The sequence below is a fragment of the Homo sapiens genome, chromosome 11, assembly GCF_000001405.40.
Source record: "Homo sapiens chromosome 11, GRCh38.p14 Primary Assembly".
Lineage (NCBI taxonomy): Eukaryota > Metazoa > Chordata > Mammalia > Primates > Hominidae > Homo > Homo sapiens.
Window position 1 is genome coordinate 82,877,500 of NC_000011.10, and position 25,282 is coordinate 82,902,781.

A 25,282-nucleotide genomic window follows, 5' to 3' on the forward strand; every position below is an offset into this window, starting at 1 on the left:
GCAGCCTAGGGACTGGGTGCCCTGTGTCCTAGCCACTCCATCCATGGCTTAAAGGGGCCAACATAGAGCTTAGGCTGTGACTTCAGAGGGTGGGAGCCCTAAGCCTTAGCAGCTTCCACATGGTGTTGAGCCTGCAGGTGCACAGAAGTCAAGAATTGAGGTTTGGGATCCTCTGCCTAGATTTCAGAAGATGCATGGAAATGCCTGGATGCCCAGGCAAAAGTTTGCTGCAGGGGTGGAGCCCTCATGGAGAACCTCTGCTAGGACAGGGTAGAAGGGAATGTGGAGTCAGAGCCCCCACACAGAGTCTCTACTGGGGCAATGCCTAGTGGAGCTATGAGAAGAGGGCCACCATCCTCCAGATCCCAGAATGGTAGACCCACTGACAGCTTGTACCGTGAGCCTGGAAAAGCCACAGACACTCAATGCCAGCCAGTGAAAGCAACTGAGAGGGAGGCTGTACCCTGCAAAGCCACAGGGGTGGAGCTGCCCAAGACCATGGGAACCCACCTCTTGCATCAGTGTGACCTGGATGTGAGACCTGGAGTCAAAGGAGATCATTCTGGAGCTTTAAAATTTGACTGCCCACTGGATTTCGGACTTGCATGGGGCCTGTAACCCCTTTGTTTTGGCCAATCTCTCCCATTTGGAATGGCTGTATTTACCCAATACCTGTACCCACATTGTATCTAGGAAGTAACTAACTTGCTTTTGATTTTCTAGGCTCATAAGCAGAAGGGACTTGCCTTGTCTCAGGTGAGACTTTGGACTGTGGACTTTTGGGTTAATGCTGAAATGAGTTAAGACTTTGGGGGATTGCTAGGAAGGCATGATTGGTTTTGAAATGTGAGGACATGAAATTTGGTGGGGCCAGGAGTGGTATGATATGGTTTGGCTGTGTCCCCACCCAAATCTCAACTTGAATTGTATCTCCCAGAATTCCTACATGTTGTGGGAGGGACAAATGGGGAGGTAATTGAATCATGGGGGTCGTTCCCATGCTATTCTCATGATAGTGAATAAGTCTCATGAGATCTGATGGGTTTATCAGGGTTTCCACTTTTGCTTCTTCCCCATTGTCATTATGATGTTAGCTGGTTATTTTGCTCATTAGTTGATGCAGTTTCTTCCTAGCACTGAGGGTCTTTATAATTCAGCATGTTTTTGCAGTGGCTAGTACCGGTTGTTCCTTTCCAAGTTTAGTGCTTCCTTCAGGAACGCTTGTAGGGCAGGCCTGGTGGTGACAAAATCTCTCAGCATTTGCTTGTCTATAAAGGATTTTATTTCTCCTTCACTTATGAAGTTTAGTTTGGCTGGATATGAAATTCTGGGTTGAAAATTCTTTTCTTTAAGAAGGTTGAGTGTTGGCCCCCACTCTTGTAGAGTTTCTGCCAAGAGATCCACTGTTAGTCTGATGGGCCTCCCTTTATGGGTTACCCAACCTTTCTCTCCGGCTACCCTTAATATTTTTTCCTTCATTTCAACTTTGGTGAATCTGACAATTATGTGTCTTGGAGTTGCTCTTCTCGAGGAGTATCTTTGTGGTGTTCTCTGTATTTCCTGAATTTGAATGTTGGCCTGCCTTGCTAGGTTTGGGAAGTTCTCCTGGATAATATCCTGCAGAGTGTTTTCCAACTTGGTTCCATTCTCCCCGTCACTTTCAGGTACACCAATCAGACATAGATTTGGTCTTTTCACATAGTCCCATATTTCTTGAAGGCTTTGTTTGTTTCTTTTTACTCTTTTTTCTCTAAACTTCTCACTTCATTTCATTCATTTGATCTTCAATCACTGATACCCTTTCTTCCACTTGATTGAATCAGCTGCTGAAGCTTGTGCATGCATCACGTAGTTCTCGTGCCATGGTTTTCAGCTCCATCACGTCATTTAAGGTCTTCTCTATGCTGTTTATTCTAGTTAGCCATTCGTCTAATCTTTTTTCCAGGTTGTTAGCTTCTTTGCGATGGGTTCAAACATCCTCCTTTAGCTCAGAGAAGTTTGTTATTGCCAATCATCTGAAGCCTTCTTCTCTCAACTCATCAAAATCATTCTCCATCCAACTTTGTTCTGTTGCTGGTGAGGAGCTGCATTCCTTTGGAGGAGAAGAGGCACTCTGATTTTTAGAATTTTCAGCTTTTCTGCTCTGGTTTCTCCCCATCTTTGTGGTTTTATCTACCTTTGGTCTTTGATGATGGTGACGTACAGATGGGGTTTTGGTGTGGATGTCCTTTCTGTTTGTTAGTTTTCCTTCTAACAGTCGGGATCCTCAGCTGCAGGTCTGCTGGAGTTTGCTGGAGGTCCCTTCCAGACCCTGTTTGCCTGGTATCACCAGCGGAGGCTGCAAAACAGCAAATATTGCAGAATGGCAAATGTTGCTGCCTGATCCTTCCTCTGGAAGCTTTGTCTCAGAGGGGCACCCAGTTGTATGAGATGTCAGTCGACCCTTACTGGGAAGTGTCTCCCAGTTAGGCTACTCAGGGGTCAGGGACCCACTTAAGGAGGCAGTCTGTCCATTCTCAGATCTCAAACTCCATGCTGGGAGAACCACTACTCTCTTCAAAGCTGTCAGACAGGGAACAATTAAGTCTGCAGAAGTTTCTGCTGCCTTTTGTTCAGCTATGCCCTGCCCCCAGAGGTGGAGTCTACAGAGGCAGGCAGGCAGGCCTCCTTGAGCTGCAGTGGGCTCCACCCAGTTCGAGCTTCCCGGCCACTTTGTTTACCTACTCAAGCCTCAGCAATGGCAGATGCCCCTCCCCCAGCCTCTTTGCCACCTTGCAGTTGGATCTCAGACTGCTGTGCTAGCAGTGAGCGAGGCTCTGTGGGTGTGGGACCCTCTGAGCCAGGCACAGGATATAATCTCCTGGTGTGCCATTTGCTAAGACCATTGGAAAAGCACAGTATTAGGGTGGGAGTGTCCCAATTTTCCAGGTACCGTCTGTCATGGCTTTCCTTGGCTAGGAAAGGGAATTCCCTGACCCCTTGCACTTCCCAGGTGAGGCAATGGCCTGCCCTGCTCCATGGGCTGCAACCACTGTCTGACAAGCTCCAGTGAGAAGAACCCAGTACCTCAGTTGGAAATGCAGAAATCACCCATCTTCTGCATCATTCATGCTGGGAGCTGTAGACTGGAGCTGTTCCTATTCGGCCATCTTGGAACCTCCTCACTTTGCTCATTTTAGTGTTTAGAAACACAGTCCAAATCAGAAAAGCTCAACAAGCCCTGCTATTATGCAAGAGCAAAAATATTGAGAAGGAAAACAAAATGGTGAATAAATAAAAGCCTAAAGAAAACTAGAGAGGAGGAAATGTGTGTTTTTCCCATCTGCCCTTATGGAGGAAAAAAAAAAAAAAAACCCTCTGCAAGGAAGGACTTAATTTTCAAGGGAAAACCTATAAACTGCTAAGCCACTGCCAAGTGCCTGCTCCCACAAACAGAATCATCTTCCTACAATAGGAAGTCATTTTCACTGTGCAATTTTCCCTCTTCTAGACTTGCATGCTTTATGCCTCTCTTGCAACACTTTATACTCATAGTAAAGGCTTTTGCTTCCAGGTCTTACCTTTCCATTATGAGAGAAACATTCTTCTTTTTAAGGCCTTTGTGGTCTAGATCAGGGTTATATAAAATGGAGGTTGTGATCCATTTGTAGGTTAGGAATTCATTTAGTGGGTCATAGTGTTTTTCTTTAACAAAATTTCATGCTATTCAGCAACCAAGTTACAGAATTTGAAATTATTTCTATTAAGAAATCTTAAAAATCTAAGTGACCTGAACCATTATGCCCCGGTGAGTGTATTAATTCTCACTTAATGGCTGTGTGTGCTCTCTACTTGAGGGACAACCACCCGTTCAACGTCATCTGAAGATGTAATTACAGTTCAGGCAGCCTCACAAAGTAGAGCACAGGTAACATCCAAATGCTACAGACAGTAAGGACTAGGGCACCTGGGGGTAGGACAGCCCCCGCTGGGCTGAGTCAGCGGGGAAGGTTTCTCTGAAGATGTGGGGTTTAAGCAGGGCCCTATAAAGCCTGGATTGGACAAAAGGAGAGGAGAAAAAAAACATGGTGCCAGCTGGCCTGGGCTGAATCTAAAAGAACAGAGGGACTGAAGGGGGTATTATAATAAGTTAGCCTGGAATTATATGGTACAAACTGGTAACCCTGGGAAAGCAAAGAAGGGGCAGAAACGAGGATGGAATCTTGGAAATGTCTTGGTGATTGACTGGATTTTGGTTTGGATGTGAAGGTGAGAGAATCAGAAAATTCCAAAGTTTTCTATCCCATGTGAACAGGAGAGTGCAACTGACCCTTGAACAACAGGGTGATTAGGGGCACCAACCCACCCTCCACAACCCACAAATGGTCAAAAATCTGCCTATAACCTTTGACTCCCAAAAACTTAATAGAACATACTATTGACCAGAAGCCTTACTGATAACATAAAGTCAATTAACACATATTTTGTATATGTATTATATTCTGTACTCCTACAATAAAATAAGCTAGGTAAAAATGTTATTAAGTAAATCTTAAGGAAGAGAAAATATATTTATTATTCATTAAGTGAAAGTGGATCATCACAAAGGTCTTTATCCTCATCTTCACTTTGAGAAGGCTGAACAGGAGGAGGAGAAAGAGGAGGGGTTGGTCTTGCTGTCTCAGGGGTGGCAGAGGCAGAAGAAGTGGAGGAGGTGAAAGGGGAGACAGAAGAGATGTATTGAAAAAAAACGTTTATAAGTGGACACGTGCAGTTCAAACCCATGTTGTTCTAGGGTCAACTGCAGTAGTATTCATAGTAATGTGAAAAATTCAGAGAAGTTTTAAAAAGAAGTGTTATGTAATAACATTAACATTTGCTATAGAAGTTAAACCTGTTTTGGACACCTGAGTTGTGCTGAGATATCCATATTAGGGACACTAAGCAGTACAGACAGAATCCCATTCTGTAGGCACTCACTACCTGGGAGGACCAAAGCTGATACTGAGCCAGTTCTTTTTTTTTTTTTTTTTTTGAGACGGAGTCTCGCTCTGTCGCCCAGGCTGGAGTGCAGTGGCGCAATCTCGGCTCACTGCAAGCTCCGCCTCCCGGGTTCACGCCATTCTCCTGCCTCAGCCTCCCAAGTAGCTGGGACTACAGGCGCCCGCCACTACGCCCGGCTAATTTTTTGTATTTTTAGTAGAGACGGGGTTTCACCGTTTTAGCCGGGATGGTCTCGATCTCCTGACCTCGTGATCCGCCCGCCTCGGCCTCCCAAAGTGCTGGGATTACAGGCGTGAGCCACCGCGCCCGGCCGAGCCAGTTCTTAAAATACTGAAATATTTCCATATGAGTTGGAGAAAAACTACCTGTGCAACACACACACACACACACACAGCCCTACTGCCACAGACCCTTTTTTAGATCTCCAGACCTAAAGAACGATGATACTTCAAAAGGCCTCAACTCCATGACTAGCTTCTGTTCCCACTGGCCAGTGTCTATGCCATATTGGTAGTACAATACTGGCAGACTGTTGACAAAACCAAGTACTAATGGTAGAAGAATAACTTCAGCTTGAGCCAGTTATTTGTCTGAAGAGCTGATGAAGGCACACACTGAGATACACTGATGGGTGGAGTCCTAGCACTCAGGCTGCTCACAGTCTAACAGGATACCAACATATAAATAAATAAAGCAATGCGATCCAGAGTAGCAGCATCGAAGTAGCTATAAAGTGCAATAAGAGGCACAAAGAGGATAGTAGTCAGTTACCCAGCCCATGGCAGGGAGGCAAAGCAGTTCCTAACAAGAGGTGATACAAGACCTGAGCAGTGAAAGATGAACAGGAGTTTGCTAGGGAGAGAAAGGAGGAAGACAAACCATTCCAAGCTGATAGACAGCAGCACTATGTAAGCCACAACCCAATATACTGTGTACAAAATAATGAAATGAAAAATGTGTAATGTCTGGCACACAGTGTCAATAATAAATAACAATAAATAATAAATATTAGAGTTTTTCTGGCAGATTTATTTCTCTGATTATGTTTTTAAAGGTTGATCCTAAAATATATTTGCATTGTCTAAGCCTACACTAGCTAAGCAAGGGATGGGCATTCAAGATATCCCGGAAGGCAGGGGTCAGTCAGTTTGGAATTTAAAAATAAAGCACGTAAAAATAAATTCACAACATCAATTAGTGTTGACTGCACTTGTTAGATGTGTGTAAGCAAAGATGAGACTTGGTGCTGCTGCAGGCCTCTCAGATGCACAGATGAGTGTGACCCAAGGTTGCTTAATGAAATCACAGAAGGGTGGTTGGTAAGTGTAAATTCCCATCTCTTTTAAAGGGTTGTTGTTTTTTTAGAAATTAGACTACATAAAAAGGCAAACCACAGCCTGTTTTAGTCTGCACTGGTCACTGTCATCTAGAGCCAATTGTTCAAGAGGAAGGAAACACTCAACGCCAAGGAGAAGAGAGTCATCACCGCTGCTTTCCAAAATTGTTGTATGAGCTGCTCCCTCAAAGGAAGAGGCCATCAGTGCTCAGGAAGAGGCAGAGATTTCCGACAGTTTTAAAGGACAGTGTCTGCAGTGTGACCCACAGTTCAAGCTGCATAAAAATATAAATTCACTGACAAATGATAACAAGTACTTCCTTACTTTCCTATCTGCTGAATCACAGCCATTGTTTGGGTTGTAGTTCCTGGTTTAAATTAGATTATTCAATCACAATGATGCTGGCCAAACATGCTGGTCATATGCCATCAGGAAAACTTATCAAAAATATCATTTGTGCTGGGCACAGTGGTTCAGGCCTGTAATCCCAGAACTTTGGGAGGCTGAGTAGGAGGATCACTTGAGCCCAGGAATTCGAGACCAACCTGGGCAACCTGTAGAAACCCCATCTCTACAAAAAAATACAAAAATTAGCCAGGCATAATGGTCATACCTGTAGTCAAGCTCCTCAGGAAGCTGAGATGGGAGAACTGATTGAGCCCGGGATGTCGAGGCTGCAGTGAGCCATGATCACACCAGTGCACTCCCACCTGGGAGTGAGACCCTGTCTCAACAACTACAAAAAATCCAGTTGTGTCAAGTCTTAAACATATAAACACACATACTTTTGCACTAATAAAATTTAATCTGTACCAAGGCACCTTTTAACACCCTTTTTTCCCTCCTTCTGAAGACCACAAATGTTCTGATGTAGTGGAAAAAGAAGAGAATTTGCAGACAGACCTGACTTTCAGTGCCATCTTGGCCATTTATTAGCTACTTAACCAAGTTCATGGCTTTCAGCTTGTTTTCTCAAATGCAGAATGAAAAAAATAACACCTACCAGAGGAGTCTTGTAATGATTTAGTTGGATAATACATATGTGCAACTGCCCAGCAGCAAGGGCCTGCAGGAAGTAAAGGCTTGATTTATTACTAATATATTTTGAAAGGTTTTACTAGCACACACCTCCCAGCTCAAACAATATATGCCATCAGTGCTCAATATTGTCATGTGAAAGAAAAAATATGATATAAAACTTCAGCAATTTGTTCTGAGTGGTCACTTAAGAAACCATGACTTGCAAAGTAAAATTACTTTTTTAATGGCAGCTATCTTGGAACAGATAACAGAAACAGGGTAGTGTCTTCGTGACAGTAAGAACCTCTTATACACCAAATATGATGTGGCCTGGTATATGACATGTTTTTCTTTTTCCTTTCTGTTCAGTTATAGTCACCAATGCTGTGACATGTGTAATATATATTTAATATACATTCCTCATTGTATAAATAACTGAGCTATGAGGAATGGTACATATTGCAGAAATATAACATGAGTGCTTTGGATATTTTATTTTTTAAATAACCTGTGACATCACTTTCATTGTTCCACATACTGAAGATTATAAACCCACATCTCAAGGGACTATTTATTTCCCCTTAGATGGCAGAATAATACAACTACAATCATGGTCCAAACAGCCAGGCTTCTCATAAATGTGGTTAAGGAGACTAGCTTAAATTTTCAGTCTAATATCCTTTTAAATTATACACTTTATTAAATAGAAGAACGCATTTTTATTCTAAACAACATGTTAAAAATAAGACCAGTCTCCAGGCTTTTAAAGAAAACAAAATACTTAGGTATAGTTCATCAGATTTGACTCCCTAGTCTAAGAGCTGGTAGACTTTCAAAAGCAGAATGCAAGATAGGGACATGCAAGGACCTTTCACTCTTCCAAGAGTGAAAGATGAATACATGGCAGTGACCAGTCCATGCAGCATGGATTAGAGACTTTTACACAAACTCTATAACTTATTCCAAGCCAAATTTTATACTCAAGTTGTTGGGAAAGCTTAAAATGGATAATTTGCTCATGGACTGAGCACCAAGCTTCAGGAGAGAAAGTTCTATAGTAGTGACTTCACTCCTGCCTCACCAAAGATGTATCTTCCTTTATTCCCTTGGATAGGACCTTTTTGTGATAGTCAATGGAGGTCTCTTAACATCCTTCACTCAATGAATATATAGAGCTATCCAAAATAACTCATAGAGTTATTTTAGAAGTTTTCATAGTCCCCTTCTGATGCTAACATAGTTCCCATTAATTTAAATCTCTTCTTTCTGTAACACAAAGTCAAAGTCAGAAGAAAGTTCTGTATAATTGAAATCTCCATTATATTTTTGCTGTCCAAAATTACCCAACCTGGTGTTAGGAGAACTAAAATTCTGCTTATTCTTCAACTTTATTACTGTCTAATATGGGTTAATATCTCTAAATCAGCCATGAACTTCCTGAATTTTTTTAATTCTTAAATTTTTTGACAGGGTGTCATTCTGTCGCCCATGCTGGAGTACAGTGGTTCAATCATAGCTCTCTGCAGCCTTGACCTCCTAGGCTCAAGTGATCCTCCTGCCTCAGCCTCCCAAGTAGCTGAGACCACAGGTGCACACCACCATGCCTGGCTAATTTTTGTATTTTTTTAAAGACAGGGTCTTGCTTTCTTGCTCATGCTAGTCTCAAACTCCTGGTCTCAAGTGATCCTCCTACCTCAGCCTCTCAAAGTGCTGGAATTACAGGTGTGAACCAACATGTTTGGTTGAACTACATGAATTAAATATAAGCCATGAATTGTAAAACCTTCTGTCTATTTCTGAAATATGAGGCAACATGGTACAAGGGCTGTGATGCTGACAGAGCCAGGTTTAAATCCTGGCTCTATCACTTATCAGCTGTGCAATCATGCATAAATCACTTCAGCCTCTGAGCCCTTTTTCCTCTATAAAATTGTAGTAACTCCCTACAGGGTAAAAGATAAATATGCATTTATTCAGTGCCATCACAAGATGAATACAAAACAACCATACTCTGATCAACTGTGTTCTGTCCCACACCATCTCAACACCAAGCTATGCTCTTAAAGTCAATGAAAGCTACAGAGAAGGAATATCCACACCGTGTGTATGTAAATGGAAATAATGACAATACTGACCTCACAGTGTTGGAAGCCCACCTCCAAGGTCATCATCTTTGACCCTCCCATCTCAGTCTTACTGACCTCTTTTCAGTTCCTCCAACACAGCCTGGTCTTTCCTACCTTAGGATCTTGTACATGATATACCTTCTACCTTGACAGAAATCTTTATCATCTCCCTTCTTCTAGTTCACTCCTAATCATCTTTCTGGTCTCTCCTTTAACATCATTACCATCTATAGGATTCCCTAATACTCCAGACTTAGGATCCCATTATAGACATCTCATACTTCCTTAAAGCATACATCACACCTTTAATTACTTGTGACTATCTTCTTTCTCACTAAACTGTAAGCTGCATGAGGCCTATGTTTGCTCTCCATTTATCCCTAGCTATTAACTCGGAGTATGGCACAAAGGAAGAGTTCAACAAATATTTTTAAATGAATGTATGACTGTGCTGTTTTACTGTGTAACTGTTAGGTATTATATCAACTATCATAGAGTGATACTTCATTGTTATCTGTTGGAGCTCAGAAAACAATACCCCAAAGTATTGATACTATGTCAACTATCATAGAGTGATACTTACTGTTATCAAAGTATTGTTCCTTGGGAGTACTTTGAACTGAAGAACACTGGAAGAGTCTCAGAAGCAAAGTCTCTTTCCCTCTTCTGTCTTTCTCTCTCCTACTCCTCTTTCTCCCCCAAGGCAGGTCATAGAAACTAGGACCCTTCTTCCTGAAAGCCAGCCATGAAGCCTAAAAATACTAAATCTAACCTTCCCCTTCCTTTCTGTATAGGAGCTGGTTACAAAGAAATTATCTGACCTACCTTGTCCCATAGTTGATCTTAAGACCGTCATTCCAAAAGGGGTCTGACACTACATCCAGGAGGAAAGAATGCCACACAGAGACCAAGAAGAATCAGAACAGATAGACCTTGCTGAGTTTCCCCATTCAGACTATTACCACTAGGATCTTTCCCTTTTTGTTCCATCACTTTTCTACAGGACTGTCCATTCTTCATCAAACGTAAGCCTAAAAATGAAGAGTTTCCCCTGAGTTTTTTGGGTCTTCATTTCTGAAGACTCCCATATCACATAAAACTGTGCTTAAATACACTTGTTATGCTTTTCTCTTGTTAAACTGTATTTTATTATAGGGGCATTGACCATGACCCTTATGATGGGTGAGAAAAAGTATCGCACCTTTCTGCCCATACATACCGTACAACCAAATTGCAGGGCTGCTCAGAGAAAGCTTCTAAGAAAATCTGCCTTTAACAAATCTGTTTCTCCTAACCTGTGTGGTCAATCTGCACCATATGAGCAGCAGGAAAGACAGCATCATGGGCTTGACAGAGACACAGCTGCTGCTTCTCTCCAGCCGCAGCACCACAGGGCAACCTGAACTAACATGTATGCCATAGAAAGTAAGGATTTACAAATATACACAGTTAACTGGCTTCCACTTGCAAATGAAAAACCGAAATCATAAAAAGTTTACTTTAACACTCCAATAATAAATACAGGTGGTACACAATTACCACAGAAGTAGCCTGTAAGGAGACATTCCTCTTGTGTTCATTCTCCATCCCAGCCCTCGCCCATACACAAAACAAAGAAAAAACAAGAAATGCAGCATTCCCTCCCTTAATCCTTTCTCTGTAGATATGTTGGGAGAAGGAAAAGCACAAACTTCTAGCCACAGCTTCCAGACCCCAAAATAAGAAAATTAAAACAGGTAGGTCTGTCTTTATCTGACATTCTATCATGCTCTCCAAAGGATGTGAGACAGCTAGGATCCAAGTTTCCTTAACCTTCCCCTCCTCCATATACACACACCTTCCTTACCTCAGTGTGTAGAAAAATGGGAGAGAAGGAGGGGGAAAGATAGAGATTCATCAGATTTGTGAAAATAATACTCTAGGAAAAACAATGTCACATGTGCTATGGAGGAGTATGGATGTTTACAAGACAGGATTCCTGCTTTAAATGTAGAATAAGAGAGGAGTATAAAAGATTATATATAACACAAGGCTAGAATAAGACATGTGCCATAAAAGTACAAAAAAAGATTTGACCAATCACACACTGTCCAGGAGATTTAAAAATGGGCTGGGTGCAGTGGCTCCCACCTGTAATCCCAACACTTTGTGAGGTACAGGTGGAAGGAAAGATCACTTGAGGCCAGAAGTTCAAGACCAGCCTGGGCAACATAGCAAGACCCCATTTCTTTTTTTTAAAAAAAATATCCAGGCATGGTGGCACAAGCCTTTAGTCTCAGCTACTCAAGAGCCTGAGGCAGGAGGTTCACCTGAGCCCGGGAGTTTGAGGCCAAGTCTGCAGTGGGCTATGATCACAACACTGCACTCCAGCCTGGGTGACAGAGCAAGACTCTGTCTCAAAAAAAAAACCAACAAAATAAAAAAGAGGAAGAAGAAGAAGGAGAAGGAGGAGGGATGGAGGAAGGAGGGGGAGGAAGAGAAAGAAAGAAGAGGAAGAGGAAGCGAGAAGAAGGAGAAGGATGACAGCTCCTGGAGGAGGCAGAGGCAGAAGCAGCAGAGGAAGCTGCAGAAGCAGCAGCAGAAGACGCAGCAGCAGGAGCAGCAGAAGCAGAAGAAAAAAAACAGCTCCTGGAGGAGGCAGTGTTAGAGGTAGGGGTTAAAAAATGGAATGGGATTGATAAAAGAGGTAAGGCCCATGGGAGAGAGAGATTCCAGGCAAAGGGAACAATGTGGATTAACACATAGACAGGAAAGGAATGGGCATATGTGGTGAATAGATAAGCAAAATGGAAAGGCAGTTAGGGCCATAGATTGAAAGGCCTTAAATGCTACAGGATTTTGTTCTTAATAAAGCAAACAATAAAGAGTCGCAGTTTCTGAAAAGAACAGTGATTCAACTGGAGGAGAGGTGATTTATGTGACAACCCATGGGAGCTGTACCGGAGGGGGAAACTGCAGGAAGCTAGGAAGACCAACTGGTTTACTCTTCTAGTAGTCAGGGGAGGCGGTAATAGGGGCTGCAAAAAGGGGCTGTAATCACTCCCTTGCATGCAATTCTCACTACCCAGGCCTCTCTCACCTTTTTGTTCTCACTTGGCAAAAGTGCAATTCACCAACTCCACAGCCATACCCAAGAAACTGAATGTAGCTAGAGAAACATACAGCCACATCAAATGGCCTTACTAACTTACATAACAGTTACATCAAATGGCCTTACAAAGTTAGAAAAGCTGCCCTGCAATCAAACCATATGCCCCTAGTGCATTTACTTTCCTTCTCTGCTAGAGGAGCATTTCTGTTCTCTCCCTTTCTCACTCTCAGCTGATGACCTTCCATCTTATTTTGCTGGGAAAAGGGAAGCGTTCTGAGAAACAGCACACAAGTTCTCACTACCATACCACCTTCTTACCTTCATCTGTGCCTATATGATGTGCCTAACCCAGTTTGACTATGGTCAAACTGTTCATGCTCTTGTTTTTTCATTAGATCCCATTTCCTCTTGCCTAAGATATCCCACTACCAATTCTATTTCTTTCTTGTTCCGTCACTTTCTCACTCTCTCGGCTCATTTCCCTTAGCATACATTCGATTATTTCTCCCATCTTAAAAATGGGAACCCTCTCCCCCTCCATCTACCACACCATATTTCTGCTCCCCTTCACAGCAAAATTCCCCAAAAGATTACCACACTCGTGGTCTCAATTCAGCTTCTCCCATTCTCTCTTGCATCCACTCCAATGAGGCTTTCGCCTCCACTCACCCTCTGAGGAAATTGCTGTCAAGGTCACCATAACCTCCACATTGCTAAATCAAGTGGCCAATTCCCAGTCATTTATTTAGGCACTACTGGTTACCTTCTTACGGAAATGCTTTTTTCATTAAGTAATCAGGGTATCACACCCTCCTGGTTTTCCTCCTCCAACTGTTCCTTCTCAGTCTCCTTAACTGGTTCCCCATTTCCCTGACTTCTAAATATGCAGTGTTGAGAAGATCATCTTTAAAAGAAAAGATCATCTTCACTAACTCCTTTGTTGCTCTCTTCCAATCTCATGGTTTTACATACCATCTGTATACTAACAGCTTCAAATTTGTATTACTTGCCCCACCTTTCTTCTAAATTCTTGACACAATACCATTTCTGAAACCAAGTTCCTCTTCTCCTTCCTTCCCCAAACCTACTCCTTCTGCAGCTTTCCCCTTCTTGGTAAATGACAACTCCTACCTTCTAACTGCTCAGGCCAAAAACCTTGGAGTCATCTTCAATTCTTTATCTCACAACCTACATCTAATTCATCAACTATACCTCTCAGCTACACCTTCAAAAATATCCAGAATCTGAGCACTTCTCAGCCTCCACCACTACCACACTAATCCAAGCCACCATCGTCTCTAATCTGAAATTTTGCAACAACCTGGTCTTTCTGTTTACCCCCTTTCCCCTACATAGTCTATTCTCAACACAATAGCCAAAGTGTTTCTTAAGATTTATTAATCAGAGTCATTCTTCTACCCCTAAAGCTCCAAAGGCTTCTCATCTCATTCTGATTTACGGCCAAATTCCTTACAATGGCCCAGATGTCCCCGCATTATCTGGCTCCCTGAACCTCCTTTCTGTCCTCCTCTAGTACTCTCTCCCTGGGGCATGTCCCTCCAGACATACCATCCTCCCTACAGTTCCTCCCACTGAGCACACACCTACCTCAGGGTTTTTGCACTTGACCTTCCCTGCCTAGACATTCCCTGTGCCTAGAATGTTTTTCCCCATGCCTAGAATGCTCTTTCCCCAGTGCCTCGAATATAGTAGGCACCTAATAAAAAATTAGGTAAATGAATTTAGACAGACATTGAACATTCATTTTCCATTTTGCTTTTTTCATTTATTATTAACGCATAAACATTTTATCACATTGTCAGAATACTTTAAGACCATAATTTTTTGGGCTAACAATATTCCATTTTATAGACATACCACAAGTTATTTACAATTTGGGACTGAAAAACCAGGATATTTACAAATGGGATATTTTGGATGTTTCTTCCTTTGATATTTGTGAACTTCACTTCACTTTTAGAAGTGAATCTACTAGTGAGAATATGTACCTCACAGGATTGTTGTAAAGCTGAATATGAACTAATAAGTGGACACAGAGACATCAGTTTTGTTACTACTGCTTAGATTACAGAGACATCATGATGTCAATGAAAGATCATAGATCTTGAAAGAAACAGATAAAAAACATGACTCACAATATTGTCCTTTAATAGCTTAAGACACTTAACCTCTATGAGTTTCAATTAAACCATCTATTTCAAAAAGCGATTATATTAATAATAATTAAAAAGAGATGTAAAAGAGTTTAGCATAATATTGAGCTCAGAGTAGATAATCAATAAATGTTCATTCATTCACTTCTCATAAACAATACCTAGGGTTTTTAAAATTGTGAACCAGAAAGAAAAAAATATTTTTATAAATTATCCCATTACATACATATTGTTAAATAGATAATAAAAATTTTCAGTACAGAATTATTCTTTTTAATTAACAATTACTCAACACTTACCAAAGCACACTTAAGATTACAAAAATCTATATATCAATTTTGTTTCTTTTATTATAATAAAGCTAGGCAAAACAATTATTTTTAATTACTGAATGATGGTATCAATAAATAAGTTCCTTTTTATCATGTGCTTTAATGTACACACACAACAGGTCAGTAAACTATTATAATGATGACAAGTTAAGCAAGAAAACATTTTAAAAATTCGCCTCACTTCAGGGCTATTTCTTGAAGCAATCTGTGTGTTGGAGTCAGATGAATGCCAAGACATTACAAAATTTTCAGTGTTTTCCATGTTGTTTCGATATAAGTTTGAGTATATGCAGTTGGAATGGTCAACAAGTACAATTTGAACTCCTTCAGGGTATAGTCATCTATGCCTGGCCAGGACCTAGCCCAGTGCCTGACATACAAAAGACACCAGATCAGCACTGAGTAGGTAGGTAGGTGGGTGGGTAAGTGACTGATTGAGTATGGTAGTCATTAGTGCTGTCTGTCTAGGCACTACAAAGCCAATACTTTTTGTCTCCCTACCCTGTGATTGGGTACAGTCATTTAACCAGTTCTAGCCAAGGAATTGTGAGAAGAAGTGACATAAGTAATTTCCATTTTGGAGCATTCATATGAGATCTTCCATGTTCTTTTTCCACTGCTAAGTGTTCATGAAAGCATATGCTAAAAAGGAAACCCCGATCAGCCACTTAGTCTCTGAGTGAAAGCAGGAGCACAGCCCCCTGCTCATTCAATTGGAAGTTTATGACAGTAAGGGTCATACATTTTGTTAGGTTAAGTGACCGAAATTCATAAATTTTACTATAGCAGCAAAACCTAACTTATCCTGGATAATACAAGCAAGCTAATGGCATTCATTTCAGCACTAGAAATTAATCAGAGTTTAATTTCAGAAAAACAAAATGGTACAGATAAGTAGTATAGCTCAGTATAATAATTTAACCTCTCTATATGATAGTTCTCTTGCTCGCCGAGTTTGATGGCTCCTGCCTGTAATCCTAGCACTTTGGGAGACCAAGGTAAGAGAATTGCTTGAGGACAAGAGTTCAAGACCAGCCTGGGCAACATAACGAGATCCCATCTCTACAAAAAGATTAAAAAATTAGCCAGGCATTGTGGTGTACACCTGTAGTCCCAGCTACCCGGGATGCTGAGGTGGGAGGATCACTTGAGCCCATAGGTTCAAGGCTCTAGTGAGCTATGATCACATGGCTTCACTCCAGCCTGAGTGACAGAGCAAGATCCTGTCTAAAAATAAACAAACAAAAAGGATAGTTCTCTTGCCTACAAAATGGAATAATAGCATCTACCTCATAGAACAGTAATAGGGATTAATTAAGTGAATGTCTATTAAGTACTTAGGATAATATTTACGGTATTTGAAGCTTTCAATAAATGGTAGTAAATTACTATCATTAATAATGCATTAGACACATTTACACTACATATGTAATTTTACTTTCATCTCTTACTCCTTATTCATTTTAATTTATGGTCAATTTTTTCAATTCATAATATCTTTATTAAGAAGTACCATATCCTGTCAGAACCATATAAAAAAATAAAAAGAAGTACCATCCAAGGCACTAGAAATGAAGACAAATAAGATCTACCATCAAGGTATTCTCCTTACCTATGATTCTCCTTTCTTCTGCAATAGACCCACAACCAAGCAAACTTTAAAATCATAAACACAATGTTTTATTATATTATAATATAAATCAACTATGCAATATTATAAATATTGTACCAATTGAAGAGGTGATTACTTTTTAATTTAAAAACACTTTATATGTTATGGGTCTGTGTCTTATTCAAAGTCAAGATAGTAAAGTTGTTTAGGTCCAATTCATCAAAGGCAATTAATGTTATGGCAAAAAACAAAACTTGTACCCACATTCCCACTGTTCCTAACGCAGTGCCCTATAAACAGGAGGCACTCAGTGAACAAAATTATAGGTAAATCAGAGATCAGCAGATCCAATCCATTTATCTTACAAATTAGTACAATGAGATCTAGAGGGTTAGGCAACTTGCCCAAAAGTATGATGTGATTTAGTGGCAGGGCTGATCCTAGAACCCAAACTTTGAAAATGTTTTAAAAGTCTAAATTCTCTAAAGCACAAAGTTCCTGCAGTATGCTGACAGAGGAATATAAACAAGTCAGTGAAAAACCTAAAGTTAATTTTTATTGAAATTAGATTTTAGCATTAGCTAGTAAGAAATTTAAAACTCAGCTATCAGAAAGACAGTGTTAGATTTACTATTGTTATCAAGAGAAGAAGGTACTTCCAAAAACCTAAAAGGGTAAATTCATTACCATATTTCCCCCCAACACTTTATCAACACTTAAAATAGCATAGAAAGAAAAATAGAAATAGTTTCATATGCTTCTTTTTATGTACAGAATCTTGTGTGAAAAGAATGATTTTAAGCAAGAAAAAAGGTTAATTCCTAGGCCACAAATCTATTAAAGTATTGATTATTTTAATCCTATTGATTTTAAAAAAGTGAAGGGGTTAATTAAAGCCATGTACATTAGGAAACTGCAAGATAAAAATAATGTTTATCATTTATTGTTTACTAACTGTTATGCACTGTGCTAAATATGCACTTTACACATACCACCTCTTTTTACAACAAACTTATGGTATAGGTAATATAATTATCTCCATTTTGCTGATTATGAAAATAGGGGCTGCCTCTGAGTAACTTACTCAGGTAGTGGCAGAAACAGAACTTGCTCTCAAACCTGTTTGCCTCTAAATGGTATGCTTTAGGTTTTGTTGTAGTTGTTTTTTGTTTTTTGTAGAGACAGGGTCTCACTATGTTGCCCAACCTGGTCTCTAGCTCCTGCCCTCAAGTGATCCTCCTAGCCTCTCAAAATGCTAGGATTACAGGTGTGAGCCACCACACCCAGCACTAAAAGCTGTGCTTTTAACCACCCTCCTGTTCAAGCTCTATCAAGTTTCTGACCCTCTATAATTTAGATCAAGGTCAATCCATCATATCTAAGGGGAAGGCTACATGATCTCTAAGGCCCCTTCTAAAAATGATTCTGTGTCACCAAACACATAAATCAGTTCTGAATTCACACAATATTTCTGACAGGACACTCCAGGCCTAAGGGAAAGTCCATCAATAGATGAACAGATAAGAAGAGGAGAAAGGGGAAGAAAAATTTAAAGGAGGAGGAGAAAGATCTTTATCAACATGCCCTACAAGGTGCCTAACATAGCTAGACATAACATTTTACTAGACATCAGGGCCACTGTGACAAAGGTGGGAAAGGGGAACCTAGAACAGCAATTGAAAGTGGAACTATAAAGGATGTACATAAATTTAAATAGCTTAGCCCACTGATGTGATCCCCTCACAGCAAATGAGGAAGGAGCTGCAGAAGTCAGTGACCATGAGCTCAATGCTGGGCCAACACACAGACTTGTAACAGAAACAATGATCAGCAGTTAAATAGGAATAGCTGGGTACTAAGTTTTCAGAAGAGGCATTACCACTATTGTCATGCATTTGGATGAGAGTGTATTTTCAGGACAGAGTTGTGAAGGAACTAGCACTTGTTCCATCAAGTTGTTTAAACTCCTACCATGTTTTATGCACCATCCATGTGGCTTTCATTTGTTACGACACTGAACTCTGACAACAACCTTGGTGGATGTGATGATTAATTTTATATGCCAACTTTATAGGCCATGGTGCCCGGCTATTTAGTCAAATATCATTCTAGATGTTTTTGTGAAGGTATTTTTTGGATGAGATTAACATTTATATCAGCGGACTTTAAATCAGTGGACTTTACCCTCCATAATTTGGGTGGGCCTTATCTAATCAGTTTAAGGCCTTAATAGAACAAAGTTTGACTTCCCCTCACTTTGGGAGGCCAAGGTGGGTGGATCACTTGAGGTCAGGAATTCAAGACCAGCCTGGCCAACATGGTAAAACCCTGTCTGTATTTTAAAAACTGCAAAAATTAGCCAGGCGTGGTGGCGGGCACCTGTAATCCTAGCTACTCGGGAGGCTAAGGCAGGGGAATCACTTGAACCCAGGAGGCAGATGTTGCAGTGAGCCGAGATCTCACCACTGCACCCCAGCCTGGGCAACAGAGCGAGACTCCAACTCAAAAAAAAAAAAAAAAAAAAAAAAGACTGACTTCCCCTAAGCAAGAAGAAATTCTGCCAGCAGAATGCCTGGGCATCCAAACTGCAACTCTTCCCTGGGTTTCCAGCCTCCAACCTACCCTGAAGATTTTGGACTTACTAAGCCTCCACAATTGCATGAGCCAATTCCTTAATAAAAATCTCTCTCATAGAGAGAGAAACACACAGACACACACCCTAATACAATAGATATTGCTCCCAATTTTACCACTGAGAAAAATGATGGCCTGACAGGACCCATTCTCCCTCTTCACTACATCACACACTAAAATGTGTGATTTGGGACTCACATTCTAGCCTGAGGGGCTCAGGTGGGAGGTACAAGGTAATAAGCATGCAACATTGTAACCACAAGCCACATATTCCAGAGAGCCCTTTATGACACTGATACCACACATACTACACATGTACCCAGAGCCTCGATGTGCCCAAGTGATGTACTATCCTCTCTCTGGTCTCCTAATTCAGTTATTTCAGGTAAAAGAAATCAAATAGTCCTACCTAACTCAATATTTGAAGACCTTGAAAAAGGAGGAAAAAATAATTAGTAAAGAATTAAAGTAAAAGATAAAAAGAAAAATAAAAAATGATTTGTGACAATTAAATGATGGTAGCCTTTGCTTTGTTTAGGTTCTTTTTGAATAATCATGCATTCACTCTTTCAACAACTATTTATTTTGTGCTTTATACTTTTTTATAGGCTCTTCTAGGTATTGTAGAGTACTAACGAGCTGGAGGGACACATACAATATAGTAAATGTGCAGGATGAAAAAAGACCAACTAAATTTCCTTAAAGAAGTCAAAGATTCGCAGAAGAGGTGAGACATTTCTGCTGGAATAGAATTATGAGTTTAAATAGTGGGGAAGAGGGATGGTATTCCAGACAGAATTTCTGACACAGTAAAAGTCACTTGAGTCTGTTAGGTTGCTAAAAGTGGGAGCTGGGATGGGGAATTATGGCAGAATATAAAGTTGGAACGACCAGCTAGGGTTACATAGTAAGGAACAATGGATTCCCATGCCAAGGTGTTTGGCCTTTATCCTGCAATCAGAGTTATGAAGAATTTCTAAGCAGGGGAGGGATAAGACCATGGGCTAAGCCTTCTTAGAGACCACTCCATAAAACCACATCCTTTATATACATAGAAGGACAGCTGGGTCCAGCTTGGTCACTGGGGCAGATATAACCACAGGTAAATCATTATAAAGTTTAATAAAAATTAAACCTTGAATAAAAAACTAAGCCTTACAGTTTTAATAATAAGTTTATTACTAGAAGGCATCAAAGTATTTCATGTGCTCTAACTTAAAAACTTAAAGTTGAGTTCACACATAGTCCTAACTAAAAATCAATGGTTCAGAAATTGGCAACTAGTATAATTATAATTATGCAATAAATACATATGTAAAAGTTTTCCTCAGAAAATGAAATAAAACTCAATTGGAATAGACAGAAGAAAAATTATTATTATGGTAATAAATACATACGTGGAATCTGTATCCTAAAATATAAATTAAATATAAGCCAGTGGACAAAATGTGGCTGAGTAAAGCTGGACTTTGCATATCATCAAAAATGGAAAAAGAAACAGTGTTGAATTATATTTCTAAGGAGTGTAGTGGCCAAGAAAAGAATCTACAATAAAGGAACATAAATTAGGAACTAAGGTACTAACAACTCATTTGTTCCCTTCCTCTTTTCTGCTGATAGTTCTCTTTTTCATCAATCCCAATGGGATTTTAGAGATCTCCCAATCCAATAGTCCTCCCCACCGTTTTACTTTAGCAGTTGAGTTCTGCAAATAGTTGTATATAAAATCCCAGCATATAAAACAGGTAAAAGCTGAAAGAGATCCAAGAGAGGGTACTAGAGCACCTAATTTGGCCTCCACTTCAGCCTTCATCCACTTTCCCTCTGAAACAGCTCCCCAAAGAGCCCTTAATTTTCCTCAGTAAAGTGTAAAACACATTGGTCCTTGTCCCAACCCTCCTAATTTACAAATGAGGGAATTATGCCCTAGAGAATTAATTTAAGGGAGTTGCCTGAGAAAAAAGATTATTTCCTAGTACCCCTGCTAAAATTAAAATGTTTTCTCTTCCTCATAAACTTGAACTCAAATGTCTGGGTTAAAAATTGTTTCTTGGCTGGGGACACAGTGGCACACGCCTGCAATCCCAGCCCTTTGGGAGGCCAAGACAGGGGCATCGCTTGAGCCCAGGAGTTCAAGACCAGCCTAGGCAAGATGACAAAATCCCATCTCTATTTTTAAAAATAAAAAAATTTTTAAATTATTTCTAAGTTATTCTGGAAGTCTATGACATCCCTCTACCACAAATTCCCATTCCAAATTCACATAAGGGCTGGGCTCAGTGGCTCACACCTGTAATCCCAACACTTTGGGAGGCTGATGCAGAAGGATTATTGAGCCCACAAGTTCAAGACTAGCCTGGGCAACATAGTGAGCCTTGTCTCTGCACAATTAACAACAACAAAATTTCACATAGGTCTATAACCACATATTATATGAGTGCCTACTTGAAGCCAGATACTCTGCTAAGAGTACGTTATCTGCTCTCATTCAACCATCACCACAAACCCCAAGAGATCAAGGAACTAGGCTCACAGAAGTACTGTAACCTGCCCAAGGTCACAGAGCTAGCAGGGTGGAATCCGGTTCTATCTGACTCCTAAAGCCAAGCTTCAGACCCTTGCACTCTTTCTAATCCCAACCTTTTCCAAATCTTTTCCTATTTTTACACAGGCTTTCAGAAATGCTGAACTGTAAGGATTACTTGTCATTTCACAGAGGATGTACTTTTCCATCAAGACCTGTGGGGGAATGCCTCATGCTGCAGCCAAGCACAAAGGCATCAAGCCCAAAAACCTCTAATTTCACGTTACAGACCATAGAAAGGCTAATCCCCACCCCCACCACAAACTCCTACAACTCCTTTTACAAGCATAGGCTACATACATTCAGTCTTATGGGGAATAGGGACTGTCAACAATTCTTAATAATAGGGCTACAAAATCAGCTCTGAGCTGACCCCTTCTGAGAGGCTGGCTTTTAGGATGGATAACTATCCAATATTTTCTAATAGGTAAAGATATTAAAATTTGTATTTAGGGCTGCCTTGGGGCAAAGGATGACTATCACCGCAGACTAGGTACCAGAGCTGGCATTTAATAATTTGAATTTGAGGGAAGGTCAAGGGAGTTCGGATTGGGGCACCCTCTGGGAGCAGAGGGAGTTGAAGTGACTGTCGTGTCCAATTACAGAAAAGCCTGAATCAAGAGTATGCAGCCAAAACTACTACCAAATTATTGGTAATGGGAGGAGAAAATTTAAACAGAACTGGGATTTGGGACCACCTTCTGGAAGATGTTAGCCAAAAACCGAACAGATCCTAGGCATCAAGGGGTGTGAATTTCGAGGTAGGCTCCGTTGCCCGGGCTCTGAGGGTCAGGGTTCCCGGCGGTTGGGCCTGGGACGGCGAAGCCCCCGCTCCCCCTTACCTTCTGTTGGAAGTAGAGAACCGAATAGTTCTTGGCTACAGCCGGGAGGGATGTGGGGTTGGTTGGCAAGTGTAGGCTGCCGAGGGCCCTTAAGGCCGGCCGGAGGGCTATGGTGGCCCAGGGCGCCAGAAAAGACAGAAGCAGGAGCAGGAGGGCTCGGCGGCCCATGGCTCAGGCTGGAGACTGCAGTGCGGGTGGGAGGGCGAAAAGGAGGCCAGCAGAAGCGCACAGGCTAAGCCCTGCCCAGCCTGCAGCTCCGCCCGCCGCAAAACAGCTCCTCCCAGGGGAAACCCAAAGCCAGCCAGCTCCTCAGAGACGCCGCCCAAGCCAGGTCACCACAGCCACTCCGCCCCCATCCCCGAGGACACCGCCTCCACTCCACTTTCCTCTCGTGCCATCTGCTCCTTAGCACTCACCTTCATTGCGGTCACACCCCAAGTCTGCCCTTATCATGCTAGGGCCTCTTCCTAACTCATCGCTGTAGCCCATGCTTTATCTATAGCGCCCCCGAAGCCCACCTGTCCTTCAGGTCACCCAATATCCCTACCATTATCATCACCACCAAACCCTGCCCTGGCCACCGCAATTCCATTGCGACACCTCCTGCCTTCCGCAAATCCTACGTAACGGCAATAACAGCTACCATGACAATTTATTGAAGGTTCACTACAGGCCAGTGTATCACGAGGCAGGGAGGCACACGCATCATCTCCTCTAACTAAATCGTCACAGCAATCTTGTGCGTCGTATATGATTGTTATTCCCATCTACAGATGTGGAAACTGAGGCTCAGAGAGGTGCGGGAACTTGCACTAGATCACTCAGCAGTGAGCGGAGCACGTCGTCGCAGACCGCTGGGTCCAGGTCCAAAGACTGTGCTCCTTGCACCCACCTCCATCTGGAGCCTAACCACTCCCTATGATACTCCGTTCTTGGGTCACCCCAAAACTGTGTTGCTCGCACAACCCATCCATTACACAGGTCGCCCCGGGTCCACATCGCCCCTAAATCCCGCCAGGTCCCGGTCCCTTCTTTCAAATAACGCCCCCTTTCTTCTCCGGCACCCGAAAACCCACTCCGCGCTCCACCCCCCTCCTGCCTCCTGCCACCGCCCCCTTCCTCCCTCCGCCCGTGGGTAGTGCTAGCCCCTAGGACAGCGCCGGGTCTGGCTTCCAAAGCTCCCTCAACCCTCTTCATCCAGCTTCCATTCCCTCTTTCAGTCACCCCGCCAGACCCCAGGGCGCTGCGGCTCACTCCACACTTTCCCGGGAACCCTACGCCCAGGAGGCTCAGCGAAGCTCCAAAACCAATTTTACGGACTGTACTACTGATCCACCTGTCGGGGAGAAAGACTCTACCCGCAGTTTGACGAAAATGGTCGTTTCCAGATGCTTGTAGGATTTCCTCGCTAAGCTCCACCCTCTGCGGCGCCTTCTTCTGATTGGCTCTGAGTAATCAGAGCCAAAGCGTTACTTCCGGCGGAAAAGGACGCGGGAGATTCGATTGGAAGGCTGCCGGCGTGCTACTGAGTTCGGCCGGTCCGAGTCACTGTGCGTCGCCTGGGCCCGTTCCTGGTCTTCTCCCCCAGGTGAGCTGGGTAAAGGGGTTCTCGGGAAGCCGAAGAGCCGGAGACTCCTAAGGAGGCTCTTAACTTCATTATGAATGAGACCCACCCAGAGCCCGGCGCTTGTTTTTTCACAAGTGGTTCTCTGTAAACGGGCAGCCATGAGGGTAACAGAATATAAACGTCAGTTATTTTATTTTAGACTCAGTGCTTTTGCAATCACCTAACGAACGTTTATTGAACACTTACAGTGCCATCGAGCTAGACTCGGAGTGAGCTTTTAGAATCGGAAATAGAGAGGAAAAGGCGCGACTCTTGCTTCTGTAATGTGCAAATACGTATTCAGTGGGCCACTGTGCAGAGTAGTACGTGCTGAAAGGGGATCTTCCAAAATGCTATGATGGCTTAGAAGGAACATATTTTAACTGAGCCATGTGCTTAAACCAGAGCTTGAAAGTTTTCTTCCTTTTCACATCCAGCCAGTCCCTACCAGCCTCTTGAATATCTCAGATCTGTTCACTTCTCTCCGTTTTTTACTGACATTATTTTGGTTCGACCCTATGACTGCTACATAGCTGTGACAGTAACCCCCCCCTCCCCCGCCGCCCCAGCTGGTTCTCCTGCTTTCAATCTTGCTACCTTCCAGTCCAGTCTCCACATTGCTGGGCTGATAAAGTTCATATTTGACCGAGGCACTCCCCATTGAAAACCTTTCAGTCGCTCCTATTTGCCCTCAGGTTTAAGCCCAAACTCTTTAACATGACTTACAGACTCTTTCCTATCTGACTTTTGCCTGGCTCTTCAGCCCTAGTGGTTTTCCACCGCTCCAGCCATATAGAATGTCTTTTGTGTTCCTGAAGTGCACTATCCTCCTTCTCACCCCAAACCGTCTTCTGACCCTGTCCCTGACCTGGCTAATTCTTAGTCAGTTTGCAAAGCCTTTTAAATCAGAAACCCTTTCCTGACCCCACAGGACTGGATCA

The 25,282-nt window shown here is 42.1% G+C and overlaps 3 protein-coding genes across 8 annotated transcripts in view, besides 8 other annotated features; 1 reads left to right on the forward strand and 2 right to left on the reverse strand.

Annotated features, from left to right (window-relative positions):
- PRCP (prolylcarboxypeptidase) overlaps window positions 1-24,145 on the reverse strand; it is a 78,709-nt gene extending 54,564 nt beyond the window's left edge. For 2 of the 4 annotated variants that reach the window (NM_001319214.2, XM_005274093.2), the window contains exon 1: window positions 24,094-24,145. Coding sequence is in view for 2 of the 4 variants with exons in the window: in NM_199418.4 (NP_955450.2) it covers window positions 7,324-7,386; window positions 22,736-22,903 (231 nt within the window). In the remaining 2 variants the exon portion in view is untranslated. Of the gene's footprint in view, window positions 1-7,323; window positions 7,387-22,735; window positions 22,932-24,093 lie in introns of those variants that run through there. The other 2 variants (NM_199418.4, NM_005040.4) reach the window with 2 other exon arrangements.
- Window positions 22,657-22,706: an enhancer, noted in NCBI's record as "active region_5333". NCBI's record gives its function as "activates an Ori minimal core promoter by ATAC-STARR-seq in GM12878 lymphoblastoid cells {active_cell/tissue: GM12878}" and the evidence as "EXISTENCE:reporter gene assay evidence [ECO:0000049][PMID:35858748]".
- Window positions 22,827-22,886: an enhancer, noted in NCBI's record as "active region_5334". NCBI's record gives its function as "activates an Ori minimal core promoter by ATAC-STARR-seq in GM12878 lymphoblastoid cells {active_cell/tissue: GM12878}" and the evidence as "EXISTENCE:reporter gene assay evidence [ECO:0000049][PMID:35858748]".
- Window positions 23,037-23,136: an enhancer, noted in NCBI's record as "active region_5335". NCBI's record gives its function as "activates an Ori minimal core promoter by ATAC-STARR-seq in GM12878 lymphoblastoid cells {active_cell/tissue: GM12878}" and the evidence as "EXISTENCE:reporter gene assay evidence [ECO:0000049][PMID:35858748]".
- Window positions 23,361-23,654: an enhancer blocking element, noted in NCBI's record as "294 bp MIR3 fragment used in the reporter constructs". NCBI's record gives its function as "blocks activation of a CMV promoter by a CMV enhancer when located between the enhancer and promoter in transfected HEK293 cells {active_cell/tissue: HEK293}" and the evidence as "EXISTENCE:reporter gene assay evidence [ECO:0000049][PMID:26216945]".
- Window positions 23,367-23,628: a mobile genetic element.
- On the reverse strand, window positions 23,415-24,556 carry LOC124902602 (uncharacterized). The gene is made up of 2 exons (XM_047427953.1): window positions 24,549-24,556; window positions 23,415-24,182 (listed from the first exon to the last, which is right to left on the reverse strand). The coding sequence occupies exons 1-2, from the start codon at window positions 24,554-24,556 to the stop codon at window positions 23,525-23,527; spliced, it is 666 nt and encodes a 221-aa protein (XP_047283909.1). The 3' UTR covers window positions 23,415-23,524.
- Window positions 23,417-23,466: an enhancer, noted in NCBI's record as "active region_5336". NCBI's record gives its function as "activates an Ori minimal core promoter by ATAC-STARR-seq in GM12878 lymphoblastoid cells {active_cell/tissue: GM12878}" and the evidence as "EXISTENCE:reporter gene assay evidence [ECO:0000049][PMID:35858748]".
- Window positions 23,677-23,726: a silencer, noted in NCBI's record as "silent region_3816". NCBI's record gives its function as "represses an Ori minimal core promoter by ATAC-STARR-seq in GM12878 lymphoblastoid cells {active_cell/tissue: GM12878}" and the evidence as "EXISTENCE:reporter gene assay evidence [ECO:0000049][PMID:35858748]".
- Window positions 23,777-23,866: a silencer, noted in NCBI's record as "silent region_3817". NCBI's record gives its function as "represses an Ori minimal core promoter by ATAC-STARR-seq in GM12878 lymphoblastoid cells {active_cell/tissue: GM12878}" and the evidence as "EXISTENCE:reporter gene assay evidence [ECO:0000049][PMID:35858748]".
- The window catches only part of DDIAS (DNA damage induced apoptosis suppressor), a 32,924-nt gene continuing 31,878 nt past the window's right edge, over window positions 24,237-25,282 (forward strand). For all 3 annotated transcript variants that reach the window (XM_024448400.2, NM_145018.4, NM_001363481.2), the window contains exon 1: window positions 24,237-24,323. The gene's annotated coding sequence lies outside the window, so the exon portion shown is untranslated. The remainder of the gene's footprint in view (window positions 24,324-25,282) is intronic.